The sequence below is a fragment of the Homo sapiens genome, chromosome 5 (genome assembly GCF_000001405.40).
Source record: "Homo sapiens chromosome 5, GRCh38.p14 Primary Assembly".
Lineage (NCBI taxonomy): Eukaryota > Metazoa > Chordata > Mammalia > Primates > Hominidae > Homo > Homo sapiens.
Window position 1 is genome coordinate 147,665,268 of NC_000005.10, and position 12,696 is coordinate 147,677,963.

General features: G+C 40.3%; 1 protein-coding gene across 7 annotated transcripts in view, besides 1 other annotated feature; it reads right to left on the minus strand.

Annotated features, from left to right (window-relative positions):
• Positions 1–12,696, minus strand: part of JAKMIP2 (janus kinase and microtubule interacting protein 2) — a 197,291-nt gene that overhangs the window by 79,830 nt on the left and 104,765 nt on the right. For 6 of the 7 annotated variants that reach the window (XM_047417951.1, NM_001270934.2, NM_014790.5 and 3 more), the window contains exon 2: positions 6,411–6,687. The exons of the other annotated variant lie outside the window; for it this stretch is intronic. In XM_047417951.1, coding sequence (XP_047273907.1) covers positions 6,411–6,539 — 129 coding nt within the window. In that variant the 5' untranslated portion in view covers positions 6,540–6,687. The remainder of the gene's footprint in view (positions 1–6,410; positions 6,688–12,696) is intronic. 7 annotated transcript variants of the gene reach the window in all.
• Positions 6,581–7,780: an enhancer, noted in NCBI's record as "CDK7 strongly-dependent group 2 enhancer chr5:147051411-147052610 (GRCh37/hg19 assembly coordinates)". NCBI's record gives its function as "activates an origin of replication core promoter dependent on BRD2, BRD4, P300/CBP, MED14 and CDK7 cofactors, with strong dependence on CDK7, by STARR-seq in HCT116 cells {active_cell/tissue: HCT116}" and the evidence as "EXISTENCE:reporter gene assay evidence [ECO:0000049][PMID:35650434]".

The following is a 12,696-nucleotide window of genomic DNA, read 5'->3' on the forward strand; positions in this document are numbered from 1 at the left end:
GTCTAGTCCACAAAGCCTAAAATATTCACTATCTTGCCCTTCACAGAAAGAGTTTGCTGATTCTTATTCTAGATAATGCATTTTTTGAAAGGAAAAGCCTTGTTTTCTATTGATTTAGAAACTACGACAATTTACCTTCCATATAAGACCTTGGGAAAGTTACTTCAGCTCAAGTGATAGGAATTTAGTCATCTTCAATTTCTGCAGGATGCACTTACACTAGGCATCTGGAACAGTATCATGACTGCAATGGCTGGTGGGTAACAAGGGAAACTTTTAGCCATTCTTCTGAGAACAGTGAAAAACTGTACTAAAAGTGGACAAAGGGTAAGAAATTCTGGGTTTTTATTCCTGTTTCACTATTTGCTATCTCTAAGAAAGTTGCTTTATCCTTCTGAGGATTTTTGATTACACTTAAAAATGTCTGTAACTGGGTTATTTTTAGGGTTAAACTAGATTGTGTACGGAAAAGTACCTTGAACTGTAAAGTACTATGAAGTGTAAGGTAATATTATTACTGGATATAATAGGAGATACTCCTTGATCTAAAATTATTTATGTCAAATTCTCTGGAGGTGCATCAAATTGTATCTTCCTATGATTCTGTCATTTACCCCAAATTATCAACTCAAAGCTTTTGCCTGAGAACTGAAGAGGAGATGAAGGAAATTATTTTTAAAAAAGTAAAAATACAGGTGCATGAAACATGTATTCCAGCCTGAAGACAAAAACAAAAACAAACACTGTCTATCCCTTAAAATAATCCATGAAAACTAGAGAAAATTCAAAGGAACTGAGTAACATTTGACATGTTTTTATGTTTACTTATTTTGGTTGTCATGAAAACTGACATTTTTTTGCAGGATTTCTAGTTATGGCTTCTTTTTAAGTCTGGAAGAAGTGTTTTATTCTGAAGAAAAGCCAAACAATGTGACTGAAATTTTTGGGGAAAAAGGCCAATAAAAATTTTCTGAAAATTATTTGCAGTGCAGATGGCACCACTAAGGATATAGATTTAAATCTTAATATAAATCTTAAAATGAATATACAAAATTATAAACTATTCCTGAGTAACAATGAAAATATAAAGATGATAATACTTTGAAATGAAGAAAATTATTTAGTAGAAGAAAGAAACCAATTTTGATACATGGAGATGTTTTACGGAGAAAAATTTCAGCTCAACCATATAATAGCTAGCATTTATTGAGGGTTTAATATGAGTTAGGCAACTTTCTAAACAGGCTTTACACACATCAGTCCATTTAACCTCCCGGGCGGCTCTATGATGTAGGAAGTCTTTGTTTCATCACAAGTTGTGATAAGAAAAGTGAGAAACAGTCTTTACATAAGAACAATGTAAAGAAGACTCACTAAAGTACATTGTGGGCCAGGAGCTGGCTCCAGGTAAGTTCCTACACCTCCTTGTTTGCTCTGAAACCTTGGACACCTCGTATTTGCACCTGAAACCTTGCTTCACCTCTGTCAGCCTCAGTTTTCTCATCTGAAAACTGGGATTGTCGATATCATTCTCTTACGGCTATTGTGATGATTGATATAGGCAATGGATCAAAAGCTCTTTAGAAAAGCTGGAACACATTAGAGATTAATAACTATTAATACATGGTGGATATTATAATATAATTTTAATAAATACTGTGTATATATTAATATTATACACTATTACATTAATACCAACAACATAAATATAAAAGTACCCATATCATCCTGATAAGACTAACATTACTATATTACATTATTAAGATGGTAACTGTTTTTCCAACAGAAAGAGATGTTCAAAGATAAAGCTGAGTTTCTTCAGTACGTATTGTGTTCTCTGGCATTGGCAGCATCTAATCTTGACGTGGAAGACACTTGGGGTGCGTATGGGCCTAAAGAGTGGTGCGGGGTGGGGCAGGGTGAAGGGGAGAGCACTCGGTAGGGCTTTGAATGATGGGTTTCCAAATCCTTTCTACCCTAGAGGTTCTATGGGAAAAAAGATCATTAGAAAAGTTTAATCCTACCAAGGAAAGGTTACACTATGACAGGGAAAAAAGAATTTATGACTATCTTGCACAGACCTCATGTTGTATTTTTCTATTCTGTCCTACTTCTGGTCTAGCCTTTGCAAAATGCCAATGTAAATTCTGCCAAGAGAAAGATAGTGATGATTTGAGCTTCAAAAGTGATCTTAGAAATGTAGGATTAAAAATTGGACAGCTCAGTCAAAGGTAAGGAAAAGGTTGAGAGGTTATCAAGGCAAGCTAAGCTAACATAAACTTTGGCCTGGATTATCTGCATTGGATGTTCCTGGAGGAACACAGTAAACTGGCAGGGATTTTCATGGGCACAAAGCAACTCTCAGAGAAGAGGTGTGAAGGAGTCGCTCTAGGAAGATTGCTTACAAGGGAAGTCCTATACAACCTTACACAATCCAGTGCAAAGGATCCTATTTTTAAAATTTCTTGTTTTCAGCTACTTATGCTTCCTGAAAATAGAACTAAAGGAGTAGATAGGAAAATATACCCCATCCCAAATTTGGTACCTGTATCTGGAGGCTGTGGGGACAGTCACTCGAGGATAGAAAATGTTGGTTGATTTTCTGAGAATGCCCTAGAGGCAATAGATGCCTTGAATCAGACAGTGAGCATTACCTTGATCACCACCATCTTACAGAAGACAGGAATTCCCATCGCGGCTCCTCCACCAGCTGTGTCTCTTGGAGCAAATGAGTTAAACAGTTTGAACCTCATTTTCTTCCTCAGTGAAGGCAGAATAGTAATTGCACCCTGTCTTTGTCACGGGCTTGCTCTGATGGTTGTGAGGCTCGATGTGAAAATGCTTTGCAGTTTGAAGGGCTGTGCCAATGGGACAGCTCCTGTCTGGAGCTGATTATTCTCAGTCTTGCAACCCAGGCCTGTTGCCCTTCTGCCTCTGCCCTGAGAACCCTGTTCCCTGCTCCTGTCCATTCATTCCCTCTGTCACTGTGCCCATGCTGTTCACGAAACCATAGTTTATCTCTGAGGGAGAGTAAAAAGCCCTGGGGCAGCCCGTGGCATGTTCATACACACTAACCAATGGATCATGCACTCATGGTGTCCATAGAAGAGACAAATGGGGCAAATACCGCAACTTAGTGGCTCAGGGTGCTGCTCCAAGAAGCAGACAGATCTGGGTGGAAATCCTTTCTCTACCCAAGCCTGGAGTTCTCACCTAAGTGAGTACTGTAACGGTACTTATGCCACAGGGTTTGGGGGAAAGCTGTTAAAGAGAATCATGTGATTTCATTCAACAAGTAATTTTGAGCACCTCCTACAGGCCAGGAAGTTTCCTCATCTGTAAAGTAGGGATGACAATGCCCACCTCAGCAGGTGGAAATGAGGATGGAATGAGATAATGGCATGAAAGCACTTAACATGCTTGACACAAACTAATTGCTCAAAAATTAGCACTCACACATACACCCTTGTGAGGCAGATACTATTATTGTCCCATTTGACAGATGAAGAAGGAAAAACACAGAGGGGTTTTATAACCTTCTCCAGGCCAGTCAGGTGCTAGTGAAGCAGCTGGGACTCTGGCAGGATGAAATGTGCTTATCAGCCCATGACAGATAGTAAACATTCAATAAGTTGTAGCTATTTATATTATCAGCCCAAAGGTCTTAAAATTTGGCTCTATACACAATGGCTGTTCTGTAAATATCAGTGGGATTATTTGTCTTGCTGGATAAATGAATACTGCCCCATTACCCCAAAGGTTTCCACTTTTTAACTTATCCATTCCCTAGTAGCTGAACTGTCATTTTGTCATCAGAGCCTCAGAGCCAACCTGAGAGTATAAATTCACACCTTGGCATTGTTCATATTCTCTCTCTTAAAGCCTGGCCCTTTGAAAATACAATCCTATTTATTTATAATAAAAGTGCTTTATGACTTGTTTGCCCTCTAAATTCCCTTTGCTCTTTGGCGAAGGATGCTGACAGGCAATGAGACTTCCCTTTAGCTCCTGAGCTGGGACCGTAATTAACTGCCAAGGAGAGGGAGCCAGGCAGGGGCAGCCAGCAGAGAAAAGGACGAGGCTGTGTGCTCTCATTTAAGAGGCTGGCTGCCAGTCAATTGTTAGAGGAAGGGGAGATTATGCTTGGCCTGCGGGCTTAGACAACGGTGCCAGGCCCAAGATAAACAGGCAGCCTGGTTCAAACTTGAGAGTTACCCATTTTAAAAGGCTTGAATATGTGGAGTATTGGCAGTGTTGAAGTCCTCAGAGCCTCTGTTTCTGAGAATCTCATCAGTTTGTTCTCTGGAAAGCAGTAGCAGTTTAGGGTTCCCAGTCTCGAGATTGACAAGCTTCTTCCTAGGAATGTAGATTGTCATCCTGTCATAACTGCAATTAAAGGAGTCTGCCTCCCTTGAAGTGTGATGTTGCTGCAGGGAGAGTTAAGGCCAATGAAATGTTCAGAGATTGTCAGACCTGGATGGAATCTTACAGCGAGTGTTTGTCAACACGAAGGCTGGAAGTCATCTGCATCTGTAGTCCATCAGAATTGCCAGGGCTGCTTTACCGAATTACAAGTCCTGGTTCTCACCTCACTACTTTATCAGAATTCTTGGATTGTGGCCTCAGGAATCTCGATATTTAATCAGGTCCCCCAGGTTATACCATTGCACAGTGATGCTTGACAAGCACAAATATGGAGAAGCAGATTCAGTCATCTGAATTACAGATAGAGACACTGTGACATTTAAATTCATCTCCAAGGAGAGATAAAGACAAATAATGCCCCGTGTCTTCTGACTCCCAAACAAATGCTGTTCTAAAATGACATCATGTTCCCTTTGGCTTCAAGGAAACTAAAAAATTTTCTTCACAAACTTTACATTACAGTCTCTTTATCTAAGGTCAAGGCTTAGCTAAGGCAGGGAGCAAGAGGCTTTGGCAGATCCAAAGGCCACTTATTATTGTTAAAATGAAGAGAAATAGATTTTGGGAGAAATAACAAATTAAAATTTAATAATGATGTCAAGGAAGAAGAGGTAGACAAAAATGGAATAAATATATTTGTTGGCTTGTGACTATTGCTTATTGATCAAGAATGTTTTCTTACTGTATAATTATCTAAATAAGGCAACTTTATGCTGTCATGGTGGTCTCTGGTTTGCAAGGAGCGAAAACATCTTATGAATGCTGGAGATTTCAAAATGCTTTCCTAGACATGACCCTCTCTGATATTCATACCACCTTGGTGAGATGTGTGTTTGCTTGTGCATTTAGGCGATGGGATTGAGAGAAGTAAAGAGACTTCTAAGTCTAGTTAGCAACTGACTTAAATCTATGAATATTAAAAAGAATACTAATATTATAATGTTTTGCAAGTTTATTATGTGTCAGGCAGCTCTCTGAGCACCTGACGTAAATTTTTTTGTTCAATCCTCATAAGCACATAATATACTTATCTAATTCATACCTCAGTACAGCTGTGATGTGATGAAGAAACTGAGGTATAAGGAATGCATCATCTTTAAATTATTCCTCTATTCATTCAACAAATACATATTGAGATTTTAAGTTCTGGATATTATTTAGGCTCTAGGGACACTAAGTAAACTGAATTTCTGCTTTTGTAGAGATTGAGGAGTGACAGCACTAAACAAGTAAAAAGCAAATGTATGAATTACTATGAAATAAGCTAAGAATAGGCTATGGGGAGTACCTGACAATGGGGAAGTGTTCTGTTTTAGAGACTGTGGTCAGATGCTTGATGGTTGAGCAGACATCTGAAAGAGGTGAGTGAAGGAGCATGGAGCTGTCCAGGAAGAACAAGTGCAAAGGCCCTAAATGTGATTGGGGTCTCTCTCTTGATCCAGCAAAAATAGGAAACAGAATGATCGAGAGAGAGAAGTGGGAGATGAGTCAAAGAGGGGGATGGAGCTAATATCCTGTAGTGGTAGAGAAAGTCCTTTGAGTCTAAGAGAGATAGGAAGCCCTTGGAAGGTATTGGGCAGTGGAGTAACGTGATGTGCTACATTTCAGAAGGACTTCTCTGAATGCTCTGGGAGTTAATAACCTATAGAGGGCAAGAGTGGAACTTGCCCAAGGTCATGCAACTATTAAGTGTTTGGCGGTGGTAAGGGACACTGTCTGAATTTTCATATCTGGCTTCCTGAACCGGGCTTCCAGAGGAGGCTAAGATCTGTCTAGTGAGTATGCTATTTTCACTTTCTGTGTGTCCTGTGCTCAGTTCCCTCCTGCCACATGCAATAAGCTCTCCATGTTTACAGGGGACGTTGCCCTCTCTGGCAAAGGGCAGGAGTCCACTGGGGTAGGCCAGCAGGCAGAGCTGTGCTCGCTGCATGTGGACACAGCCAGAGCTGCTCTTAATGCCACGACCTCAGGTAGCCCTCGCTCACCTTGGACTTCTCTTGATGCAGCTCTATCTGAATGTCTGTGAGCTTGGTCCTGAGGTCTTCATTGGCAGCTTGAAGGGCAACAATGAGTGCCTCGGGCTTCTCGCCCTTATTTCGCCCTTTCTTGGACATTGTTCCTTTCTAAATGGAGTCTGTTGGTTTTTAATTTCTTTCAAGCAGGTGCTGCCATGTTACTGTTTCTTATCCTGGAGTACGATGTCTCAGCATCTACTGTGTGGTGCTCCTTGGTAAGGTCTCCTCAATCGCTGCCCTGGAAGCCCTGAGAAGAGGCAGAGATAGTAGTTATTGTTTTGGCAAAGACCTGGTCTAAGTGCCAGTCAGTCTACTCTCAGCCTGAGTTACCTGTAAGAGCCTCCTCCTGAGGCTCTCCTATCCTCAGTATCTCCTGTCCACTTGTACGTGAGTTTAGAGTGATTTTTTTTTCAAATAGCTAATTTAATTATATCAATATCTTGCTTAAAATCCTTCACCTGAAGCATAAATCCTTCATCCTTCACTCTTTCATGTCTTGGAGTGTTCTTTTTACCTGAAACTGCTCGCTCTTCTATCCTCATCTCCTCCATGTCACTCACTGATACTCCAAACATAAGGAACATGGTCGTTAAAGGAAGTCACCTATGTGATGACCTCAAAAGGCAGAGAGACCCAACTTTAAGAAAAGCCAATGTATAGAGACAGGATTACATGTAATAGCTAAACTGTGAGAAGTGGGGAATAACTATAAATGAATCACCGGATTAACTGAGTCACTCATATATTCATTCATTCATTCAATCAGTCAATATTGTTAGAGCTCTTTCCATATGCTGTGCTAGGTATAGAATTTGGAAATAGAAAAATAAGTCAGCCTTCCAATGGGAAAAAATTTATCTATCTATCTATCTATCTATCAACGATCTATCTATCTACGTCACCATCCATAATCTGATAAGAGTTTTTTAAAAAATAGGCATGAATTGTTTCAGAAGTATAAACAGTAAACTGTCTTTCCACCTGGGTTGAATAAGAAAGGCTCGCTGAAGAAGACACCGTTGGCTTGGAACTTGAGGAGTGGGTAAGATGATAACAGATGGAGAAACAGGTGAAGCATCCTGGGCAAAGAAAAAAGCAGGTGCCGAGACACAACAGAGAGAAATCACAGTGACTATTTGTGGGAAGAAATAGGGCCTGATTAATTACACCCCTAAATGTGGTTGATGGGCACTAATATTGGAAAGGTTTCCTGGAAAGGATAGATGGCGGGGAGGCCTAGAATTCCAAGCTTAGAATGTTGGAATCTTTTTTCAGCAAGCAATGGGAAAGCTATTGAAGTTCTTGGCAGGTGTGTGCCCTAACAGAGCAGTACTTTGGTGTGGTTATTCTGGTGGCAGAATGGAGAGAGAATGAATGCAAGAAGACCACATAGAAGGCAACTGAATTTGTCCAGGTAAAGAATGATGAAAGCCTAATCAGAATTGTGGCAAGAGGAGAGAAAAGGGGTGGGGGAAGGCAGATGTGTCTTGATTTACAAATTCTTGAATACTTCATAGGAACAAGGGGCCCAGAAAAATAGGAATACTAAATCATTAAAGTCAATGGGAAAAACATGACAAGATCCTAGAGAAAGCTTCTCTTGCAACCTTTCAGAAAATTGGGCATTGTGTATGTTGAGGAGCTTCAGTCCAGAGCTAAGGGGAACTCCTGCTGACCACCCATATGTTCCGGCAGCTGCTGCTCTCTTAAGACCCTTGTATCTAGCACTGACAAGCATGCTGGGATCCTGGGCTTTGTGCCATCTGCTCATGAGCACTGAAGCTATGCTCTTTGGAGTGTGTCCCTGGGGGAAGGGGGCAGGGAGAGGTTAGGAGACAGGAAGGATGAGACTGTCGGCAGCAGTCATAGAACTGTCCACCACATTCCATCCTGTGCTAGATGCTGGAGTTGTCCTTCACGCTTCCTTTGCAAATCTGGCCAAATTATTAAAGTGCAGGGCTGCGAGGTCTCTGAGAGGCCATCTTTTTTTGCTTTTAGTCTTGGAATGAATTCAGCAAGCACATATTGAACATTTGTGTGACCAGCACCAATAGGCAAAAGGATAAATAAGATAGTACTTAAACTCAAGTAGGTAGTGAGTGAGTAAATTCACATATATATATATATATCTATCTAACAGGTTTCTCTCTATATATTTGATTTCTAAATGTTGTTGTTGTTCTGGGCTTTTCCAGAGGACCTCCACCAGCCTCCTACGTAGTTATGACCCACAGTTCTATATCCACAGCCCCGACCATTATGCAAACACTAGACTTGTATATACATACAACACCCCATTATGCAAACACCAGACTTGTATATACATACAACACTTTACTTATCAAATCCACTTGAATAGATCTGATTGGCATCTCAAAACTAGCATAACTAATGCAGATGTCTTTGTTACATTAGTCCCCCCAAACCTTATTCCCCCCAGGTTTTCCTAGATCATTAAATGGCAAAACCACATGTCCAATTGTCCCAGATATAAGCCTAGAAATTATATTTTCTTCTATTTTATTCCTTGTTTCTCTTATTCAGTTCACTAAGAAGTTCTGCTTGCTTTGTATATAAAATCTGATCCGCTTTGGCCAATTTCCCTCAAATCCCTAAAGTGCTGCTGGAACACAGAGTAAAAAAGGAGCTTGGGAATAGCTTCATAGTCCCTTCATTGTTGTCTTCTTGAATGAAGAATAGGCTTTTCTAAATGCAGATATGAAATGGTAGAGGAAAGAGCTTAAGCAAAAACCTGAAGCCACAAATTTGCCTGGTGTATTTAGAAAAGGTTGTGAAATGGAAGAAGAGAGACGAGGTGAGATTTCGAAGGTTGTTGCATGATAGGCTAGGGAGTTTGGAGTGGATTTTACAGGCATGAGGAAACATGGCAGCATTTGAACATATGTGTAATAACAATAACAGCTGCTAGAGACTGACTGCTCACAACGAGCCCATCATTGGACGAAGGGCTTAACATACTGTTCTTACTTAATTCTCACAAAGTTTAGGGAAATATGATTAACTGAAAGATTAGATAACTTAACTAAATTGACCAAGGTCATTGGTGGTAATGCTCAGATTCAAATCTAAGCAATCTGAGACCGGGAACCAAGCTCTTTTTCTCTGGACTGCACTGCCTTGTATTTGCATTTTAGGAAGGTAACTGTCAGTATTATGGAAGATGGTGGAAGAAAGTCAGTTAGGCTGATTTAATGGTCCATGTGAGGGGTAATACAGCCCTCAACAGATAAAAAGAAAGTGGCAACTTTGACACATGGAGTCACTGATGGAATCGTGCCCAATTTTTAAACGTTACTATTGTTTTGAACATTCTTCTCTCCCATTGTAAATAATGACTATGAGTTCTACAGAATTGCTTGTAGCAAAAATGTGCAAAGGGACAGATACAATAGATACATTTTACATCTTAATTTATAATTCTACTTCAAAATATAATATTATGTGCCGGACTTTATATATTTTTAGCCTGGGAATTATTGTGAACTTAGTCCCACAAAGGGTGAGGAAAAGGAAAAGGTGAAAAAAAAATAGATGCACATTCAGAAGAGAAAAAAGCATCACAGGAAGTTATTGATAGCATCAGCCTATGGGTGCCTTAAGGTGAGCAACTTCATATCCATGGTCCTATACACCCCTCTGGTGGAGGAGAACTTTCCAAACTCTTCTCCAGTTGTAATGGGTGCCTGGCAATCTCATGATTCTCATACTCTAATTTTACTGCATCTCTTTTGTCTCCTTGTGCTGCTTTTTTTTTTTTATTTTCACAGCTTCTTTGAGATATAAGTCACATACCGTAACATTCACATTTTTAAAATGTACAATTCAGTGGTTTTTAGTATATTCACAAGGTTGCATAAACAGCATCACAATCAATTTTAGAACATTTTCGTCACTCCCAAAAGAAACTCTATACCTGTTAGCCATAATTCACTATTCCCCACGCAGCTCTCTCAGCCCTAGGCAACCACTAAGTCTATTTAGTGTTTTGTCTCTACTTAGTTTTGTCTCTGGATTTGTCTGTTCTGGACATTTTGTATAAGTGGAATCATATGACATTTTTTTTTTTTTTTTTTTTTTGTGACTGGCTTCTTCCACTTTAGCATAATGTTTTCCAGGTTCATCCATGTTGTAGCATGGATTGATACTTCATTTCTATTGCTGAATAATATTCTATTGTAGGGATAAACTGCATCTTATTTATTCATTCATTGCCTGATGGATTCTCTTGCTGCCTTTGTGTAAGTGGCTTAAGGTCAGGCTTCTACAGAAGCTGCCAGCCATCACAAGGGACATCACTCTTGAGTGCAAAAAAGAGAGTGCCTGGACCGGGTGCGGTGGCTCACGCCTGCAATCCCAGCACTTTGGGAGGCCGAGGTGGGCGGATCACGAGGTCAGGAGATCAAGACCATGCTGGCTAACGCGGTGAAACCCCGTCTCTACTATAAAAATACAAAAAAATTAGCCGGACGTGGCGGCCGGCGCCTGTAGTCCCAGCTGCTGGGGAGGCTGAGGCAGGAGAATGGCGTGAACCCGGGAGGCGGAGCTTGCAGTGAGCCAAGATCACGCCACTGCGCTCCAGCCTGGGCGACAGAGCGAGACTCCGTCTCAAAAAATAAAATAAAATAAAAGAGCGTGCCTGAAGGTATCACTGCACACAGGTGGAATGTTTCCGGACACTCCGAGAGTCCTTGCCACTGATGATGTCTGACCCAGCAGATTATCCGGAGGAAGGATAGGAGCCTTGTTCCATCCACTAAGGGCCAATCTCTACAGGAGCTTTACAACATAAAAAACTTGAAGGAACTTTAAGTGAACCCTAGATTTCTAGCTCCTAGCTGCATGGTCAGGCAGCAGTAGCCCCAGGCAACATTGTGAGGCATCAAATATGTGAATTTTAGCTTACTCTTCAGGCCTTCCACTATCCCTAATCAGGCACCTCCTACAGCCTCTGAGGCTGAGTTTCTCTGTAATGGTTTCTATCTCTGATAAAGATATTAGAGAAGTTAGAGACAGCCTCTTAGAAAGTTTTGCATTTTGAAGATCATTGCTTAAGAGCACACCTTTGTGGAGGAATGGATCATTAGTGAAAGAATTACAGGCATCATTCCTTCATTTATCAGACATTTATTGAGAAGGAAATATAGTGTAGTATTTTAGAGGAGGGCTTCCTGAATCTTTGGTCTAGTTACATCAAAATCTACTTGAGAGCTCTAGTGATAAGAAGCTCCACTTCTGGAGATTCTGATGTAGTAATTGGCACATGATTCTGATACACAGGCATCTCTGAGAACATTTGATTAAAAGTATGGGCTACGGAGTTAGACAAACCTGTTTAAATTCCACCTCTGCCTTTAGTAGCTGTATGATCTTAAATCACTTAATTCTCTAGGCCTCAATATTCCTCATCTTTCAAATGGGGTTTGGAGGGACGGGGATATGTAGTACCTATGACACTGGATTGCTTGGCAATTAAACAAACGGATGTAAGTGATGCTCTTGCACAGCTCACGACGCAAGAACTAACCATTTATTGAGTGCTTTCTATCTCTACTGTTAGCCACAGTGGAGGAAATAAAATACCCTATAAGCGCTGTCTTCAAGATGCTTAAATTGAATAAGAATGACAGGGGATGTGTAAAATTATTGATAACTCAAGTTCTACACTTACAGAAGACTTTATATATTAAAAGAGCCCTTTATTTAGGAACTGGCACAAAACTCTTGAGGGAGAGAAGCCACTGAGAGAAGAGGAGTGACATCAGCAGAGGCAAATGCAGCCTCTGTCCCTTCTCACCAAGGTTCCTCCTGGCAGGGTACTTCTGGAGACCAGGAGTGGGATGCCCCATCTGAAATCATCTTGAATCATCTACTCCCAATATAGTCCTTTTACATCTTTTAGTGTTTAGGCAGCTTCCAAATCCATTCTTGATAAACAAATTTTCAGGTCTAAAAATTCCCATTCAGCATTCTTCTTTTTTAATTGACAAAAAGTATGTATTTATGGTGTACAATATGATGTTTTGAAATATGTATAATTGTGGAATGTCTAAATCAAGCAAATTATCATATGCATTAACTCACATACTTTTTTTGTGGTGAGAACACTTAAAATCTACTTTCCTAGCAACTTTTAAGTATACAACACATTTCTATTAACTATACTCACCATGTTATACAACAGATCTCCATCCAGACTTACTCCTCCTAACTCACTGAAATTTTGTATCTTTTGACC